The 18924-nt window shown below is 41.8% G+C and overlaps 1 protein-coding gene across 6 annotated transcripts in view, besides 4 other annotated features; it reads left to right on the forward strand.

Annotated features, from left to right (window-relative positions):
• Nucleotides 1-18924, forward strand: part of WDFY2 (WD repeat and FYVE domain containing 2) — a 183248-nt gene that overhangs the window by 34572 nt on the left and 129752 nt on the right. The gene's annotated exons all lie outside the window — the stretch shown is intronic.
• Nucleotides 7447-7954: an enhancer, noted in NCBI's record as "H3K4me1 hESC enhancer chr13:52200616-52201123 (GRCh37/hg19 assembly coordinates)". NCBI's record gives its function as "activates a minimal SCP1, AML or CMV promoter by ChIP-STARR-seq in primed H9 embryonic stem cells {active_cell/tissue: H9 hESC(primed)}" and the evidence as "EXISTENCE:reporter gene assay evidence [ECO:0000049][PMID:30033119]".
• Nucleotides 7955-8461: an enhancer, noted in NCBI's record as "H3K4me1 hESC enhancer chr13:52201124-52201630 (GRCh37/hg19 assembly coordinates)". NCBI's record gives its function as "activates a minimal SCP1, AML or CMV promoter by ChIP-STARR-seq in primed H9 embryonic stem cells {active_cell/tissue: H9 hESC(primed)}" and the evidence as "EXISTENCE:reporter gene assay evidence [ECO:0000049][PMID:30033119]".
• Nucleotides 8643-9262: an enhancer, noted in NCBI's record as "H3K27ac-H3K4me1 hESC enhancer chr13:52201812-52202431 (GRCh37/hg19 assembly coordinates)". NCBI's record gives its function as "activates a minimal SCP1, AML or CMV promoter by ChIP-STARR-seq in naive H9 embryonic stem cells {active_cell/tissue: H9 hESC(naive)}" and the evidence as "EXISTENCE:reporter gene assay evidence [ECO:0000049][PMID:30033119]".
• Nucleotides 9263-9881: an enhancer, noted in NCBI's record as "H3K27ac-H3K4me1 hESC enhancer chr13:52202432-52203050 (GRCh37/hg19 assembly coordinates)". NCBI's record gives its function as "activates a minimal SCP1, AML or CMV promoter by ChIP-STARR-seq in naive H9 embryonic stem cells {active_cell/tissue: H9 hESC(naive)}" and the evidence as "EXISTENCE:reporter gene assay evidence [ECO:0000049][PMID:30033119]".

The following is an 18924-nucleotide window of genomic DNA, read 5'->3' on the forward strand; positions in this document are numbered from 1 at the left end:
GCAGAGCTCCAAGTAGGAAAAGCAGATTGTGTGCCTCACTGTCTTTCTTTGATTTTCTCTCACATCTATGTCTTTTCTATTATTCTTCATAAGACCTACTTCCTCCATCTTCAAAAACAGGCAAATAAAGAACTCGAGGCTGCATGTGGTGGCTCACGCCTGTAATCCCAATACTTTGGGAGGCTGAGGCGGGCAGACTGCTTGAGCCCAGGAGTTTGAGACCAGCTTGGGCAACATGGTAAGACCCTGTCTGTAACAAAAAATACAACAACAACAAAAAATTAGCTGGGCATGGTGGTGCACGCCTGTGGTCCCAGTGAGGCAAGGAGATCAAGGTTGCAGTGAGCTGTGATCACACCACTATACTCCAGCCTGGGCAACAGAGCCAGACACTATCTCCAAAAAAAAAAAAACAAAAAACAAAAAGCCTCCAGAAGGTATCAGAAGATATTTCCATCCCCTATTTAAATTTAGATAATGAAAACTAGGACTTTCAGATACAACTGGGGACTATTTTCCTCATTCTATCTCATATGTGAGCAATTAAAATAAGGGTCAGAACAAACAATGGTTATTTATGGAGCATGCAGGCAAAGAAAATAAGTCCTGTTAAAAGAAAAACTTTAGACAAATTAAACAGAGCTTAGATGAGCAAGGAATGATTCATGAATTGGGTAGTCCCCAGAACCAGAATAGGTTCAGAATGACTCTAGAGCTGCCACATGGTCAGATAACATTTATGGACAGAAAAAGGAAAGTGATGGATAGAAACAGAAGTGAGGTACAGAAACAGCTGGATTGGTTACAGCTGGGCGTTTGCCTTATTTGAACCTGCCTTGCATAGTTGGCTGCCTATAGTTGGCTGAGACTCGCCTACTTGTTCATCAGGTTAGGTTATTGTTCCCTATGTATGGAGAAACCTTTAGGCCTAACTTAAAGTATGTATGGAGGCAGCTTTAGATCAAACTTAATAGTCCTTCTTTTCTAATAATCTGGGCTGATCCTCCTTATAAGCCCCTTGCCAGTACAGAAATACAGGAGGGGAGGCAGCGCCCAAATCTGGTTCCACCCAGTAAAATTAGTCTGATGCAACAATTTAATAACTTTTAGATAAATGTTCCTTTTAAAAAACGTAAAATGCTATGCTTCTCATATTTCCTCACTAAGATGGCATCTGGGTGGGGGTGGGTGGGTTGGGAGACTGTGTGGGTGGATGGAATCCATAGACCCCCATGGAGTGACCTCAGGTCCTTTTTGGCTCTGCCATGGAACAGCTGCTCTGGCCTGTTGCCTGGACTGGAGATGGCTGAGGACGGCATCCCTCCCTGGTGTCCTCTGTTGAAGACTGTGGCGGGTCCTTGCCTGTCTTTGCTTGGCCATGCCTGGTGGTGCTCTGGCGGGCTCCACTTCACTTCATCTCTCATGGCATGATTCCCCTCTGGGTCTCTGTCTTATCCTTCATCCTGCTCTTGCCCTAGTGGTCCCTGAAACCTTTGTAGTGGCATTATCTCTCCCGTACCACTGTGGGCTCTCAACCCATCCCAGCCCGTCTGCACCTGCTCACTCCCATCCACCTCTATCCAGACAGGATTTTTCTGGGTCTGTGTAAACAAAAGTCAGGGCCACAGAGGAAGGATACACTCTAGCCATTGTTCTCTCTGACTTTGCTGTAGCACTGAGTTTTCTTTGATGTAGCTGAGCCGGGGATGGTGTGATGTGGCCTGTGAGGCAGTCTTTCCCCAGAATCCTAAATGGGAAGTGTGGCAGAACCCCTTACATGTCAATATTTCTCTCACCCGGTCAGCACTGCTTCCAAGAGGGAAGTCGGACGCACTCATCTCATCCACTTCCTCTCTTGCCTCTGGCTCTCCTCCTATCTCCCGTTTTCCTCTGTTCCAGGCTTTCCCTCTGTCCTCATCCTGTCAGAATAGTACTGCCTGCCCTTACACACAATATATAAAACTCTGCCATCAAGTCCTGTTGTTTTTAATATGTTTATTGATGTGAAAGGGATTTAGAATAAATTTTCTCTGAATAAAGCCTGAGGTAAACTTTCTGTCCTCTTCTCTCTTCCCCCTTCCTGCATTTCTGCTGTAGTACAAGCCTTTCCTACACAAACGCATACTTTTAATAGATTGGAAGTGGTTATGTGCAGAACAAGTATATTAATAGCTTTTGAAAATATTCTTGGCCGGGCGCGGTGGCTCACGCCTGTAATCCCAGCACTTTGGGAGGCCGAGGAGGGCAGATCACCTGAGATCAAGAGTCCGAGACCAGCCTGGCCAACATGTTGAAACCCCGTCTCTACTGAAAATACAAAAATTAGCTGGGCGTAGTGGTGGGCACCTGTAATTCCAGCTACTTGGGAGGCTGAGGCAGGAGAATCGCTTGAACCCGGGAGGCGGAGTTTGCAGTGAGCCAAGATCGCGCCACTGCACTGCAGCTTGGGCGACAAGAGTGAAACTTCGTCTCAAAAAAAACAAAGAAAATACTCTCTTCATTAAATCTAGAGGAATTAAAGGGGTATCAGTTACCTGGGAAAGCAGACTTTGATGCAGTTGAGACTATTTTGAATTGAAGATTCTTATGGACTTCATGTCCTAAACAGAGTTGCAAATAATAAAGTGGCGACTGCCTCACCTCTCTGAAAGTTTTAAAGAATGCAATGTGATACTGGCCAGATTCGTCCTTTTGGGTTCCCTCAGGCCTAAATGGCAGTCAGCATCAGAAAAAATGCAGTTAAGATTAGACTGGTTCTGGAGCAGCCATGTGGTACTAATGACTCTAAAACTTGGGTGGAGGGTTGAAAAAAAAGAACTGAAGTATTATGAGAAACAGTCCCTGTTTCTCCCATTATTGCAGTGGGACTTTCTGTCTTTAATTCAATTAAAAATCACAGCTCCATCCTTTTTTCTTAAATTTTTTTAAGCTTTTTTTGCTCAATGTAGCTTGATGTAGAAAGATGAGTGTGTGTGTGAGAGAGAGAAGGGAGGCGGGAAAGATGGATTGTTTAGTTTCATCTTCAACATTATATTTTGGGTTTATAAAATTGCACTGAAATTGGAGGTCGTTATTAGTTCTCTTTTCACTAAAGCACAGGATTAATGCGAAGCACATTTGTGCTGTGATTGCTGCAGGAGGCCATGTGCCAACCGTGCTAAGCTTTGCAATATTTGTATTCCTGAAGATGATATTTGAATTTTAAAAGAATGTTTAAGTGGAGCAGTTGACATTCCTCTCTCTCCCCCCCTCCTTTTTTTTGAGTCCCTTCTCCTTTAGTTAATTTCTCTTTGTTTTTATTATTGTTTTTTATTTTAGCCTTGTGAATCTGTCCAAATATTTATAAGCCCACATACATTTCTTTGTAGCCACTGTCTCCTGTGGTGACCCACAGGTGAGTAAATGACTGTTCTTTACTTGGGCAGCAACACACATTCACAGCATTTTCTAGACCATTGGCTCTTTCTCTAATTGCATTAACCATCTCAGATACAGCTGAAGCAGTTTATAAGTTTCAAATTCTGAGCCTGGTGGAGGGCAGATTCCCTCTGTAAAATGAAAATGAACCAGGAGGCAGTTTAGGATAACATTCATGCATTTGTTCATTTATTAAACATTTATTAACAGTATGCCTGGCATTATGCTGGGTTGAAAGCATAAAAACACAGGATACACATAACTGTTCTCAAAAAGTTCACAATTCAGTCAGGGAGGTAGGTAAGTAAATAGTTACAGTAGAGTAGGGGAAAATAAGGATGATCATGTAATTATAGTTTGAACTGGAATACCTTTAAAAGTGAAGGTATGCTTAACTTTACACTTTTTTTTTTTTTTTTTTTTTTGAGATAGAGTCTAGCTCTGCCACCCAGGCTGGAGTGTGGTGGTACGATCTCGGCTCACTGCAGCCTCCACCTCCCGGGTTCAAGCAATTCTCCTGCCTCAGCCTCCCGAGTAGTTGGGATTACAAGCACGCACAACCATGCCTGGCTAATTTTTATATTTTTAGTGGAGACGGGGTTTTGCCATGTTGGCCAGGCTGGTCTTGAACTCCTGACTTCAAGTGATCTACCCTCCTTGGCCTCCCAAAGTGCTGGGATTACAGGCAAGAGCCACCGTGCATGGCCTTAACTGTACACTTTTAAAATGATACAATTTATGTTACTTGTTTTTTTTAAAGCGTAATTTTTCTAAAAAAAAAAATGAAGGTAGGTGCTATTAATATTCAGGCCAGGCCAAAAGACATAAACCCAGACAGTCCTGGGCAAATGAGATGAATGGGCAAGCTAAGTAAGAGCAATATGACTGGAAAGATGAAAAGGAGGCTGGAGGAGGAGTGGGGAGAACGACAGGGATGTGAAAGAACAGTGTGCCTTACTTTCCTCATGTATAAAATGGGCATGAGTTTAGCACCTAATTCATAGCAGTTGTGAGGATTCAGTGAGTTAATTCAGGGTCCTGGATTACTGCCTAAGGTAAGAGTTCCATTAAAAAAAAAATCTCCATTTTTTAAATAACCAGTTGTGACTATACTTGGTTATAGTTGCTGATTTTTTGTGTTGTGTTTTTTACAAGTAGCCTCTCAACAGATGTTTGTGGTTTAATCTTTCAGACCTCATCATTCTATCAGTCAGTACCATCTATCTCTCCAGTGCACCACGTGTCAGAATGCACATCCTGTGAACATTGGGAAGCTACCTCGTTTCCAACTTTTTCTCATTCCCATAAGAAATTTTGGTTATTCTGTGGTTCCTGTCCTTCTAATTTTGTGGTCATTTCTTTTCTTCCACAACAGGCAGTTTTTACAGAGTTTTTTTTTTTTTTAAAGGAATAGGCACTTTTTTTAACCTATAGAAGTTATTTCTTCTGTGTCTCCACACCATCCCTGCCCTGCACACCAAGCTTTTAAAACAAAGAGGCAGAATAAAGAAACATAACTAGCCGTGTTCCCAGTTTTGCTCAGCATTCCTTTAAAGAGCTGTCTTGGAAGTGATTGACCCCTATTTTAAGATAATAAAGGATGACGAATTAGAGAAAGGACCAGGTTGGGAGAAACCTGTATACGGTGAAATTGATTCATTTAATCAGAGGCTACTCAAGGCATACACTTTTTCTTGGGGCAGTTTGGACAGATTACTGCTGGATTCTGATAGAGTCTGAACTTGCTGAAAGCGGGAGTTCAGATTTGATTCAATGTATTCTAACCCTATGTCTCAGGTCTTAACTGATTATTTATAGTTAAATAATCAGTTTATTTAACTGCCCCCAAGAACTGTGGTGCTAGCTATTGCTCCTGCACTTTTTCCACCCCTGATTTGCTTTTTCCTGTTCCATTCATTGCTGGAAGTGGCAAGAGTCTTGTGTGTTGAGTTCTTGATATGACTGTATTATCAGACCACTTTCACTCTGCTAATTTTACTTTAATTCACCATGTGTTCAACAACTGTTAGTTGAGCCCCTGACTCTGCACCAGGCACTATTCTAGGCATGGGCTAATATTAGTAAACAAACAAAGATCCCTGCCACCATGGAGCTTATGTTCTTGGGGGGAAAATACGTAATAAGCAATGATCATGATTGATAAGCCTATGTTAGAAAGTGATAAGCACTGTGGACACAAATACAGATCGGGGTAAAGGACTGAGAATGTAGGTATGAGTTGGGGAGGAGGTGAAGTTTTTCCTTTTAAAAAAGGAATGGCTAGAGCACTTCTCACAGAGGCAACATCTGAGCAAAGATCTGAAGGAGGTTGGGGGGTTTGCTCTGGGGCTATTTGGACATGACTCTTCTTGGCTGAGGGAACAGCCAGTGCAAAGGCAGGAACGTCCCTGGTTTTCAGCAGGCCAGTGTGTCTGGGAGGAAGTGAGAGAAAGGAGAGTATTAGGAGGCAAGATTAGGGGGATGTCACAAGACAAAAAGTGTTGTAGGCCACGGTGAAGATTTAGTCTTTTGCTCTAGTAAAATGGGGAGCCACTGCAGAGTTTTGAGCAGATCAAGATTGGGATTTCACTCATTTTGGTAGTATCAACTGACTGTTGTGTGACAGCTAACTAGGTGCAGGGTGGGGTGGGTGAGGCCAGAGGCTGGAGGACCAGTTAGGAGGACATTGCAGTAGGAGACGTAAAAGTGGCTGTGACCAAGGTGATGTGATGGTGGCCAGGGTGGTAAGAGGTGGTAAGGTCTGGATATACTTTAATAGTTATTTCATAATTCAGACTTGGCTTGGTATTTCTGGTTAAGTACATCTGATTGGACAACACTTAAGCCAGAGACATTTCTAGTATCTGCATGGTTTCCTCCTCACTTAAGAGTGCATGTGCCCAGCATTTGTGTGTGTAAATGTTTGCACTGTAACGCTCCTGTTCATCAGTTTTAGTTTGTTCTGTTTTAAGGTGGGAAGGAATGTAGCTATCCTTTAGCCTTAACTAGTAATAAAAGAGAAAAGGTAAATCTGTTCATCTTAAAAGTAATATATCCTTTAAAAAACAAATTGATATTTTGCTTTGTTTCCTCCCATCCCAAGGCAACCATCACTAAAATTCGGTACCCATTCTTAATAAGAGTCCATTAAAAATCCTCCTCAATTCAGAGGGTTTCAGAAATTCGATACAAAGGTGGCAGTCATGTATAGAATAAGTATCTCTGAACTTGAAAGCTAAGCAAAAATATTACTGAGGCCAACTGAAATCCTATGGAATTCAGCCAAGATTTAACCAGTCCAGAGCACTGCCAACACTGGCTGAGGGCGGAATGCTGACGGGGCAAGGATGAGGCGCAGCCAGGACTTCGAAAAGGAAGCTGATATCAATGGAGGGAATTTTTCATCTGATGCAGCATTTCATATACTTAACACTCCAGTGAGTTCCTCCTGTTAGATTGTTTTAATGTTGTCATGCATTGTTTATATATTTATAAATAAGCCCAGGTAACAATTTTTCATGCACCCTCTGGTCATAGTTGGGTGGCCCGGAGCACCCTGGCAGCCAAGCATGGCCTGCTGGCTGGTACACCAGTGGCCTGACAGCACAGATCTGAAGGAGGACAGATGCAGAAGGGGAAAGAATGTTTCACATTTCACTTGAAATCCTGAACTCTTAAATAAATGAGGAAATGAGGGAATGAGGCCCAAGCTTGTCTTTAGAACATACATTCTTCAACAATAAGACCTGGATCTCTTTCCATTTTCTATAAATACTTGAGGCAGCATTTGTACAATAGAAAGAAGATAGGGTTTGGAGTGAGACTGGGCTGGTTGAAATTCAAGTATCTCTTTCTGCTCTCTGTGAGGCCTGAACAACTTAACCTCCTAAGCCTCCATTCCCTTCTCTGTAAAAGAAGTTTTTAAAATATCTGCTTACCAGAGGTGTTCTAAGGATTATACCAACATACACAAAAATATAGGAACATACACAAAATACAGGAAGCACCTTCCATAGCACAAGGCTCAGTAATAGCTCCTTTCTCTTTCTCCACCAGTGAGGTTCACTCCATAAATTTTGATGGATGATTAACAGGTATTTATAGTTTGTTCAATTTTGTATATCAAATATAATTAACAAGTTGTGTGATTAGTGTGGCAGGGGCTAAAAAAAATGAAACACATCTAATATAAATTTTTATTTTAGCATGCTTTTGTTTACTATTTGGTGTTTATAAATTCCTCTCTTCAGTGTTTCATATCACATTACTAGAGACAACCACAATAATAAAAAGAGGCAGAGATTAATTTCCATTCCTTGTAGAAGTCACGGGATCCTTGGGGTGTTGCTTTGCCAGCCAGGAACCTCTGTGGCCAGTGGTGCCTTCTGCCTGAGTAATGCTCATGCCTGCTGGGCTCATTCCACCCATTCAGCCCAGCAGGCTGTGCTTGGCTTGTGCTGCCAGCCCAGATCCCATACCTACCAAGGGCAAGCCAGGTGCAGAGTGGCAATGGGGGTGTGAGCCAGCCAGCATGGGATCTGGCCACTGCACACAGCCAGGCATGCTGGCTGCTGTGAAGGGCGGGCAGCTTCAGATGTTGGCATGGGTGCCGGCTCCATGCCAGCCTGTGGCTGGACCAGGTATACTGCATGCAGCTTCTGCTGCAGGCACCTGTGTCCAGATGAGGGGAACATGGTGGCACCTGGAAGCTTGGAGACACCAGGAACTGCAGAGCCCCAAAGAGAGTGTCACAGCCCTAGCTTGGGGAGCTCCTTGCTCTGGGATCCCAGAAAGGCTGCAGGTCTTCTCTCCTTGTCACTGTCAGTGTGGTGAGCGGGAAGGGGCAGGGAGGGGGACATGTTTCAGCCCTGTTTGTTTTGCAGCTTTTTCAGGACCTCCATTTGACGGGTCCGTAGTCCTTTTGTTTTCTTTTTTTTAATGGAGTCTTGCTCTTGTCACCCAGGCTGGAGTGCAGTGGCATGATCTTGGCTCACTGCAATCTCCGCCTCCTGGGTTCAAGTGATTCTTCTGCCTTAGCCTCCCAAGTAGCTGGGATTATGGACACCTGCCACCACACCTGGCTAATTTTTTTTTTTGTTGTTATTGTATTTTTAGTAGAGATGTGGTTTCACCATGTTGGCCAGGCTGGTCTTGAACTCCTGACGTCAGGTGGTCCGCCCGCTTTGGCCTCCCAAAGTGCTGGGATTACAGGTGTGAGCCACCATGCCCAGCTGGGTCCGTAGTTCTAATCCCATGTCCAGGAAGAATGAGGCATGCAGGCAAGTGGAGGGTGAGCAAGGCAAAGAGGTGCTTTATGCAACAGAACAGCTCAGAGGAGCCTGCAGTAGGTGGCTCCTCTCCATTGGTGGGTCATCCCATTGTCTGCTTAGCTCTCAGCAGAGAGGAGACCCACAGTGGGTAGCTCCTCTCCACAGGCAGGTGGTCCAGTCATCTGCCGGAGTCTGCCTGAGTCCAGGGGGTTTTTATGGGCTTCAGAGGGGAGGAAGTGCATGCTGATTGGTTCGTGGGCAGCCATGGGCAGGCTCAGAAAAAGCACCATAAGTTCTCGTTTTGGGCCCCAGACTCTAGCTGGAACTGGCAGACCTCAGGCCATCCCTGTCTTGAAGGTGGGGTTTCACTGGGGACCCACCCCTTTCTGCCCAGGAACCTGTCTGCGTCCTGGCATCAACATGCCATCCACGGCACCCAGGCTGTTCGTGCTGAGAGGCACCTGCAGTCCTGCGCTGAGCCGCCCCTCAGGCCCCACTGGGCTCCCTCCCTGAGCTCCTCAGTGCCCAAAGTTTCAGAGGGGGCCGAGGTGGTGTTGGGGGATGCTGGTGTGCAGTGCTGCCCCATGTGCATGCACACCCGACCATGTCACGGCAGTGCCTGGGCTTTGCTTCAACTTTGTTCTGAAATCAGAGCGGACGCCAGGAGGTGGGAGAGGCCAGGGCGTGGGAGCAGGTCTTTTTGAGCCTGTGGGGACAGGAGGGCTTCCCAGGCCCCTGAGAGTCCAGGGATGCTCGTGTCTGGAGCTTCAGCTGGATGGCTGCAGCTACACCCAGGAGCACCGGTTTCCCATCCCACCAACTCGGTAGGGGGCAGGGTTTCCGCCTGTTCCTTGCTCCCACTGGCCTCACAGAGCGAGTATCCCTAGCGGCACCCCCCCTGCTGCAGCCGGCCTCTTCCGAGTGGTCCCTCCAGATGGCCACGGCTGCCATCGGAAGAAGAGAGGCAGGATGAGCTAATAGAGCCCTTGATGCATCACAGATGCCAGTTAGTTGCTTTACTCTGCAAGTCATGTTTAACTGAATGGAATTTTCTAACAGGTGGAATTGCAGTGTCTAAAAAGGGCCTTAGAAACCCATTGACCAGCATTTAAAAAATAGTGTCATAACTTTAAGATTGAGCAGCAGACTAAATTCTTCCAGGGTTTTGACCTCTTCTGAAGACATATTTGTATGCTCTGTGGGACTTTTCTGTTTCTGTGATCCATTTTGATGGTTTTAAACTATACATTGACAGATTCCTTGTGTGTGAAATGAAGAGTTTGAATAGATTATTTCTTAGGTCCCCTTCAACTTTGAAGTTGAAATTCTGAGACCCAGAGTTTTAGTTTTAAGCTATGGAGAAGACAGTCTTGGAAAATGCCTATGAAACTAAGGGATAAGTGATACTCCTCACATGGGAAGTCTCTCAAGCTGTTCTCTCTCTTCCAGTGAGGAAGGCTAACAGAGGAAGACCATGAAGCACACCAAGTGGATAGTGTGGGTTTCTCCCTAGCCTGCTTTGGTCTCTAAACGTTCATGTAGATAGATTACAGTAGATTTAGGAATGCAGATGGTTACTGGTATTAATTAGATACCTAAAAGAATTTTAAGTCTTTGGCAATTGATATAACCATGTGTTTGTTTTAGTATTATGTTTATGAAGCATGGTATATGAAAAGAGGATGTTATTTGGGTTGATTTTAAATTTCTCAATTTAATATGACTTTGGAAGAGGTTCCTCACTACAAAATGGTCTATTTACCTATTTTTTAGTTTTCTCTATTTATTTATAAGGGTTGTATTCAGTAATATAAATGAAATAAAGGTGTGTGAAATACTCTGTGAACTGTTCTGTACAAGCATTGCACTCTACATAGAGGATAATCATTAATAACATCATGAGCTTCCTTTTTATACAAAACTACTGTGTGTGTCATGGAGAATTTAAAAACCTCATAAACAAATCAAGTTGAAATAATTCTAATTGGAAAACAAGGAGAAAGTAGCTATGTCACTGTGGCCAAGGGGTGATTGAGGCTTTTTGTTTTCTTCAGTAACGGTTCTCTTTAGTTCTTTGATTTTTTTTTCTTTTCTTTCTTTCTTTTCTTTTTTTTTTTTTTTGGTTTATAGATGTATTACATCTGAAAAATATTGAAAGTACAAAAACAGTATGTGAAGCAGGAGGTATGAAACCACTCATGATCCCACAATCTTGGAGCAACCACTAATGTTAGCAAACATTAATATGTTTCCTAACTACTTCTTCTTTGATCTTAGTATAGTTAAAATCATTTTATATACACAGTCTTATAAACCTTATGTTCACTTAACATAATATCTCCAGCACATTAACAGTGATAGAGCAGAAATATGGAGCCTTAGCCATTAAAGACATTGAGTTACTGAATCAACCTGGAACTACCTTCTAGTCATTTTGTTTTAAGTCAGACCCTGTTTTCTTTAAATCACTGAGGTTAGGTATTGTTATTTGCAGCCCAAATCATCTTAAACTGAGAAAGCTGTCCTAAATTTCTTATTTATTCCCATGTACGATTTCTTACTTTTATAGCATGTGAATGTAGAGTAGATTTCTGTAAGTGGAATTTCTGAGTCACAGACTATATACTTTGTTTTTGTTTTCTGATGATTTGTTTTATTTTCCTGTCAGCTCATCATAAGACTTTAAAAAATTATTATTTTAGTGAATTTTTTTGGTGTTTTAAACTGGTAGAGTTCCCTTTCTTTCTTTTTTTTTTTTTATGTTTGGGTCACCACAGTGCCCGCAACATTCTTTCTTTCTTTATGCATACTTTTTGAACAACTATACGTGTGGCACTTTTGCACACATTGCCTCATTTAATAACCCAGTCAGATGGGTGGTATTTTGTTCTTTCACCCAGTTGATGAGGGGTTTCTCTTTTATAGGGGTATTTAACCCATTAGCGTTTACTGAATGTTTGGTCTTACCCTTGGCTTTTTGTGTTATGTTTTCAAGTTATTATGCTGATTGTTTAGCTTTCACTGAAATTTTTTTTTTCAAGTTTTTCTTTTTTTTTTTTAGTTTCTCTTTTTTGAGACAGAGTTTTTTGCTCTTGTCACCCAGGCTGGAGTGCAGTGGCGCTATCTCGGGTCACTGCAACCCCTGCCTCCTGGATTTAAGCGATTCTCCTGCCTCAGCCTCCCAAGTAGCTGGGATTACAGGTGTGTGCCACCACGCCCAGCTAATTTTCTGTATTTTTAGTACAGACGGGGTTTCACCATGTTGGCCAGGCTAGTCTCGAACTCCTGACCTCAGGTGATCCACCCATCTCGGCCTCCCAAAGTACTGGGATTACAGGCGTGAGCCACCATGCCCAGCAAGCTTTTCTGTTTTTTAAGGAAAGAAAACAAGCTGGGCATGGTGGCTCACGCCTGTAATCCCAGCACTTTGGGAGGCCGAGGCGGGAGGATCACTTGAGCCCAGGAGTTCAAGACCAGCCTGGGCAAGATGGAGAAATCCGTCTCTACAAAAAATGTAAAAATCAGCTGGGTGTGGTGGCTTGTGCCTGTAGTCTCAGCTACTTGAGAGACTGAGGTGGGAGGATCACTTGAGATCAGGAATTTCAGTCAGCAGTGAGCCATGATGGTGTCATCGCACTGCAGCCTGGGAGATGAAGCAAGATCCTGTCTCTAAAAAAAAAAAAAAAAAATTTAAAAAGAAGGAAAACAATTCTCTGTGACTTGGAAGTTATATGTCCAATTTTTGTTCTTCTTGTGGGTAATTAAAATTTGAACTTACTTGTTTATCATTAGAACAGTATCTATGGAGTTCTCCTAAGCCATGTGATCACTTCAGCACATTTTCTTTTCTTCTCCTTACCGTCTAAATTTTGTTGAAATAATGAGAAACATTTGTTCATTTTTTTTACATTATGCTCCTTCAAGCATGCTTTCAACTTACAATGTTGAAAGCATAATTTGCATTATGATTTCAACATTGACACGCATTATTTAGACGAGGATCTTGCCATGTTGCCCAGGCTGGTTTTGAACTGTGGGGCTCAAGCAGTCCTCCCATCTCAGCCTCCCAAAGTGCTGGGATTACAGGCGTGAGCCACTGTGGCCAGCCTAGACCTCTCTAGCTTTGTTAGCTTTATTGCTCACTGCTGTTTCTCTTATACTTCTATTTATCTTTTACTTTCTTGAGTTTTTTATTCTATTTTTTCAGTTGATTATATATCCTCCCTTCCTTAAGAATATTTCTACAGATAAGGTATGTGGAAAGTATATTTTTGATTCCCCTGTTTATTAATGTATTTCTTCTATGTTATAGTAATGATAATTATAGTATTGATAATTCATCTAAATTTAGAATTTGTGTGTCATAGACTTATCTTTTCAGAGTCCTATAAATCTTACTCCATTGTCTTTTAACACTTAGTATGGTAGATGAGAAACCCAGTGTTCATCTCATTCATGTTCCTTTTTATTTTTTTAATCTTGGTGGAGGAGCGGATGTCTATTGGACTCTTTTTCTCTCTGACATTCCAAAGCTCTCCTAGGATGAGCATGGTTCTTTTGTGATTAATTTTGCCAAGCTCTGAATGAATAATTATATTCTAAAAAACTCATTTTGAGTTCTGTTTTTTTTCCCATTATTTATTACTTTTTCTTTACTTAAATATTATTTCTTCTGTTTTCTCTTTCTGAAATACCTATTAGACACAGATTTGATCTTCTACCATTCAGGTGCTATATTTTTCAGTCATAATTTCCCATTTTTCCTTGTTTTCTTGTGCTTTCTGGGAGATTTCGTGGAGCAGGTCTTTCAGGTTCCCGTTTGGTTTTATGCAGGAGCCAGTCTGCATTTCAGTGCATCTCTTCTTTAGGCTACCCATTTTGCTTTTTACTTTCATTTGCTATGTCCTATTGCTCCTTTTTCATCTCTCTTCATAATAACTTTTGTAATCAATGATACAGATAAAAAAGTTTAAATCTCACTGAGAAAATTTTAAAATGTGCAATCTTAAAAATTTTTAAATGTACAAACTTGTCTTGTTTCTAGCAGTTACCCTAATTATTCAAACATTTTCACTTCACCTAAAATACTGGGTCTTTCCCCTGTCTAGTTTGCTAGCTTCTCTGTTCACTCATCTGCCAAGTAGGTCTAATTTGTTCATTATTGGTAACTGAAATATGCTTTGTCAGAGGTTGTGTAGGTCATTATTCAGTTCTTTTCATTCCAGGCAAAAATAGGGAAAAACGTTAGATTTACTGTGATTTTTTTTATCTGCAGCTTAGAGTTCTAATAGTTTGTGTGGGGCAGGGTTGAAGCTGTAGGCAGTGGGAGACAACTGCAGGGCAGACTTTGTCTTTGTTCAGGAACAGTGTTCCTTTTGTGTCTGCCTTGGCAGCTTCTGGCCCGCTGGGGTAGTTTCCCTTCCCCCTGAATAGCTGCCTGGCCTAGGCATCCAGGCAGAAACTCCAACCAGCATGGCTGCTGCTCCAGCACTGGCCTGGCCTCCAGCCTCTGCTCCAACCCTGGAGCTGTCAGTAGGCTCTGAAGTGGGGATCCTGGTGGACTTGGCCACCCCATGTGTAGTGGAGTGATTAAGAGTTTAAACTTGAGTCTGATCGCCTTTGTGTTCCAATCTTGGTTGTGCTACTTGAGAACTGTATAACATTGGTCATCTTGTTCAACTTCTGAGCCCCAGTTTACTCGTGTGTATAATAATATTGAAATTTGTTAACGGCTTAAGGCACTTAGTAGGGTATCTGGATCTAAATAATTGATGAATGGCAGCAGTTTTGTTGTGGGTGTTCTGGGAACTGGCTGCTAATTGGCCTCTCCGCTCACTCTGCTGTTTGCTAAATTATTCCTGTTAGCTCTTCTCAAGGGGTCACTTTTGTGGATGGGTCACTTATGAAGTAGCCAGTCAGTGGTGGAGACTTTTTTTCTCCTGAATTAGTTGGATCATTTTAGCAAGAAGTGATGAGGGGAGGGAGTCACATGCATCATCTTGATTCTAGACCATCACAGGTAATTCTTTAAACCACCTGAAGTTTTTAGAACCAAATAAATAAATAGGGCAGCACCTTTTATTGTGTAATTCATTTGTCCCCCTATGATTTTTAATAAATTTTTAATATGCTAGTTAGTATATATACTTTGGTCTGTTTCTGAGCTTTCAGTTCTTTCCCATTGGTCATTCTGTTTAATCTGGTGCAGTGCCACACTATTTTAGTCTTTCTTCAGTGACAGGAGAGAATCGTTGTTAAGAGCATGATGTTTGGAGACAGGTTGCCTGGGTTTGAATTCTGGCTCCTTTGATTAATTTCTAAGAGGTTAAATTAATTACTTACCTAAATTACTTAACTTCTTTTTGCCTCAGTTCATCAGCTCCAAAATGGACATGAGGATAATCCCAATTTAGAGGACCATTGTAAAGATTAAATAATTCTCAGGTCATTAAAACTGAGCTTGGCTTTATGAGAGTTATTTGAATTATTACAGGGCTTTAACAACCAAGAACTGATAGTGTAGTCTTGCAAAGCCCTAGAAGTGTTTTTTTTTTTTCAGAAGTAGTGGATGAAAATCTTACTCTGTGAGTTCTGTGAGGGCCAGGAACCCATTTTTACCCTCTTTGTATTCCTAGTACTAGACCTGATTCATGATAAATACTCAATATATATTTACCAAACCTAAGGAAAAGTAGTACTTTAGCCTTTTAATACACAAAGATTTAAAAATATATCATGAATCCAGGTAAGAGTCAATTAAGCTTTTGTAAATTTATAATACTTGTTAGCACTAAGATTGGAAAAGGCAGCCAGGTGCAATGGCTCACGCCTGTAATCCCAGCACCTTGGGAGGCCAGGGTAGGTGGATCACCTGAGGTCAGGAGTTTGAGACCAGCCTGACCAACATGGCAAAACCCCGTCTCTACTAAAAAATGCAAAAATTAGCCAGGTGTGGTGGTGCATGTCTATAAGATTGGAAAAGGCTGTTTTTTTTGTTTTGTTTTTTTTTTCCCCATATATTCAGTACCAGGAAAGAACTATAGTAGAGCAAGGAGGACTTTTTTGTGAAGACATTTGTTTATTGATCAAAACAATAGGGTGCATCATGGTTGGGTTAAGTGGATTTATCCATAGGTCAGAGTTGGAGTAGAGGGAAGGGAAGAATGCAGAGTCCCCCCATAAGGAAGCCCTAAACATTTATTTACTTATTTTTTAATTTTTTAGTTTTATTTTTTTGAGATGGAGTCTCTCTCTGTTGCCCAGGCTGGAGTGCAGTGGCACCACCTTGGCTCACTGCAACCTCTGCCTCCCAGGTTCAAGCAATTCTCCTGCCTCAGCCTCCCGAGTAGCTGGGATTACAGGTGCCTGCCACCACGCCTGGCTAATTTTTTTTTTGTATTTTTAGTAGAGACAGGGTTTCACCATGTTGGCGAGGCTGGTCTTGAGCTCCCGACCTTCAGTGATCTGCCCATCTCGGCCTCCCAAAGTCCTGGGATTACAGCGTGAGCTACTGCACCCCCGGCAGGAAGTCCTAAACCTTTTAAATGGCAAGAGTTGAGAGAGAAATTATGACGTGATCATCATTTTTCATGCCAGGCTGTGAAGAACAGCAGCTTTGCGTAATTGAGAGAATTTCACAGAACAGCATGTATTTTGTCTCTGTACCTTGAGGCATAAATTAGACGTGATCAAATCCAGATCTAGCTAATGCACTGTGCAAGGTGCTCTAAATGCCTATAAGCCATTTTTTTCGGCTTCCTGTCTTCTGTTTTCTAAATAGTGAAAACTTTTCACCAAACTTCCTGCATTTCACCTTTTGTCCTCCATGTCTGATTTCTTCCTCTCTCTGAGCATTCAGACAGCTTCAGAAATAGTCTCATGGTAAGGCTTAGGCTTTCGAGTCAAACTCCCGGGAGGAACTCCTGGTTCTTCTTCCCCATGGCTTGGGAACTACAGACAGGTGAGGGTCTCCACACTACAGTTTCTCACTTCTAAAGGGGAAGTGAAAACAGGATCTCTCTTACTCGTAGTACTTTTGTAAGGATTAAATGATACAAAGCAAATAAAACACAATGTGTCTGAAAATAATGAATGCTCAATATGTTATTAGTCCTTCTGCTACTATTATTTAATTTTTTCAACTAATGGAAGGAAAACTGGCAGCTTTACTGTAACCATACCCTCATTCCCCATTTCTCTTCTGGTGTCCCTATATCTGGGCAGTACCAAAGTGTAATTCCCTTCTCAGATATGGAAGCACCTACATACACTTTAACCTGGCTTGACTCTCTTAATGGAAGGAATGCCCACCGGAAGTTTCATCATCTTTTTTTTCAACATGCTGGGTGCACAATTTTGTCTTCCCTTACATATATCAGGAACCCCAACAATCGTCCATTAGGTAATTGGTGATATTTCTTGAAAGATTTTGGTTTTTGCTGAGTTTTGTTCATTTTCAGGTCAATGAGTCTGTTAGCTTCAGCTACCTCTGTAACACACATTTATACATGCATATTTGCAGTTCACACACTGGCACACACACTCTGATTTGTAAACACGCTTCAGACTAAAAAATTCCTCATTTTACAATGATCTTAGTTACCTTGGTCATGGTTAACTGGTTATTATCAAAACAGGCCTATAGGCTATGATCAGCCCTCAGTTAACCTGGGAAGTGCCAGTTCTAGCAGAGAGGCAAAGAGGGAATTAACCTTGACCCATTGAGGCATGATGGAGAACAGCCAGTCCTTGGGCTTCGTGATAAGAAAGGTCTTTTTAATGACGGAAAGCAAAATACCACAGCAATTACCCGGGGTCAGGTATGGAAAGTACTCATGAGACTCCACAAAGTATATTTACCTAAGGCTTTAATAAAGACAGGATACAGTACAGCAGGGGAAAGAAAACAAGGCAAACGTTCAAGAGGTCTGGGATATTCCAGGTCCTCTGTCATCTGACAGAATGCTCTTTGTCTTTGGATCATGATCCATCTAGATACATGTGAGTGAGATCACTTGGCCTAGACAAATAGGTCAGTGGAACAGGATAGAGTCCAGAAAGGGACCCACGTTTATATGGTCACTTTATTTTTGACCAAAGGGCAACGGCAACTCCGTGGAGAAAGAACAGGCTTTTCAACAAATGGTGCTGGAACAATTGGGTACACACATGTGAAAAAATGATCTTCGATCCATACCTCATACCACATGCAAAAATGAATACAAAGCAGATCATAGACTTAAATGTAAAACCTCAAATTATAAAACTTCTAGAAGAAACACCAGACAAAATATTTGTGACTAGAATCTGCATTTTAACAAGATCCCTAGGTTATTCTTATGCACATTAAAATTTGAAAAGGACTGCCTGGCACTATAAGGTGTGTTAGTTTTGCAGGTGAAAACTGGGGATGGAGGAGGAACAGTTGCCTAAGCAGGAGGCCAGCATGTGCAGGGACATAGAGGTATGATGAGTTAGGGCAGGGATTTCATTGAGCAAGTTCATGCAAAAGGTTTTACCAGTGTGCAGTGAAATTTTTAAAAAAGGGGATGGGGCAATGCAATGAGCATTTTATTTCTAGAATTAAATTTCTTTGTGTTTTAAAATGATAAGATCATGTTTTTCTTAACTTTTTGTAAAATGAAAGTGCTAGCAAATTGTAGATTTTGTTTTTGTTTGAAATAATTTTTTTTTTTTGGCAAATGAAAAGTTGGCAACCCTCTGTTTCACTCACTACCCTTTTAGTTGTTTTTGTTATTGTTTTTTTGACCTATGAAATCCAAATGTTTGTCAGCTACCATGTTAGAGAACTGAGTGTTACAGGAAAGAGGTCCCGATCCAGACCCCAAGAGAGGGTTCTTGGATCTCTTGCAAGAAAGAATTCAGGGTGAGTCCACAGTGCAAAGCAAAAGCAAGTTTATTAAGAAAGTAAAGTGGTGAAAGAATAACCACTCCATAGACAGAGTAGGGCATTCCTGAAAGTAAAAGGAGGAATGCGTCCACCCTAGGTACAGTGCTTGTACATATAGGATAAAAAAGATAATGGGGAGATGTGCTCTGCTACAAGGGTTTGTGATAAAGGATTAATTGTCTTAATTACTGTATTTTGCAAGAATTGATATTATTTAAAGCAAAATTAGGAATGCTTTTGTTCTCAAGATATTGGGATATTAGGACACTCCCAAGTCTGGGTCTGTTTAGTAAACATTACCAGTTCTTTTAACCGTAAACATCTAGA

Source organism: Homo sapiens, chromosome 13 (genome assembly GCF_000001405.40).
Source record: "Homo sapiens chromosome 13, GRCh38.p14 Primary Assembly".
Classification (NCBI taxonomy): domain Eukaryota; kingdom Metazoa; phylum Chordata; class Mammalia; order Primates; family Hominidae; genus Homo; species Homo sapiens.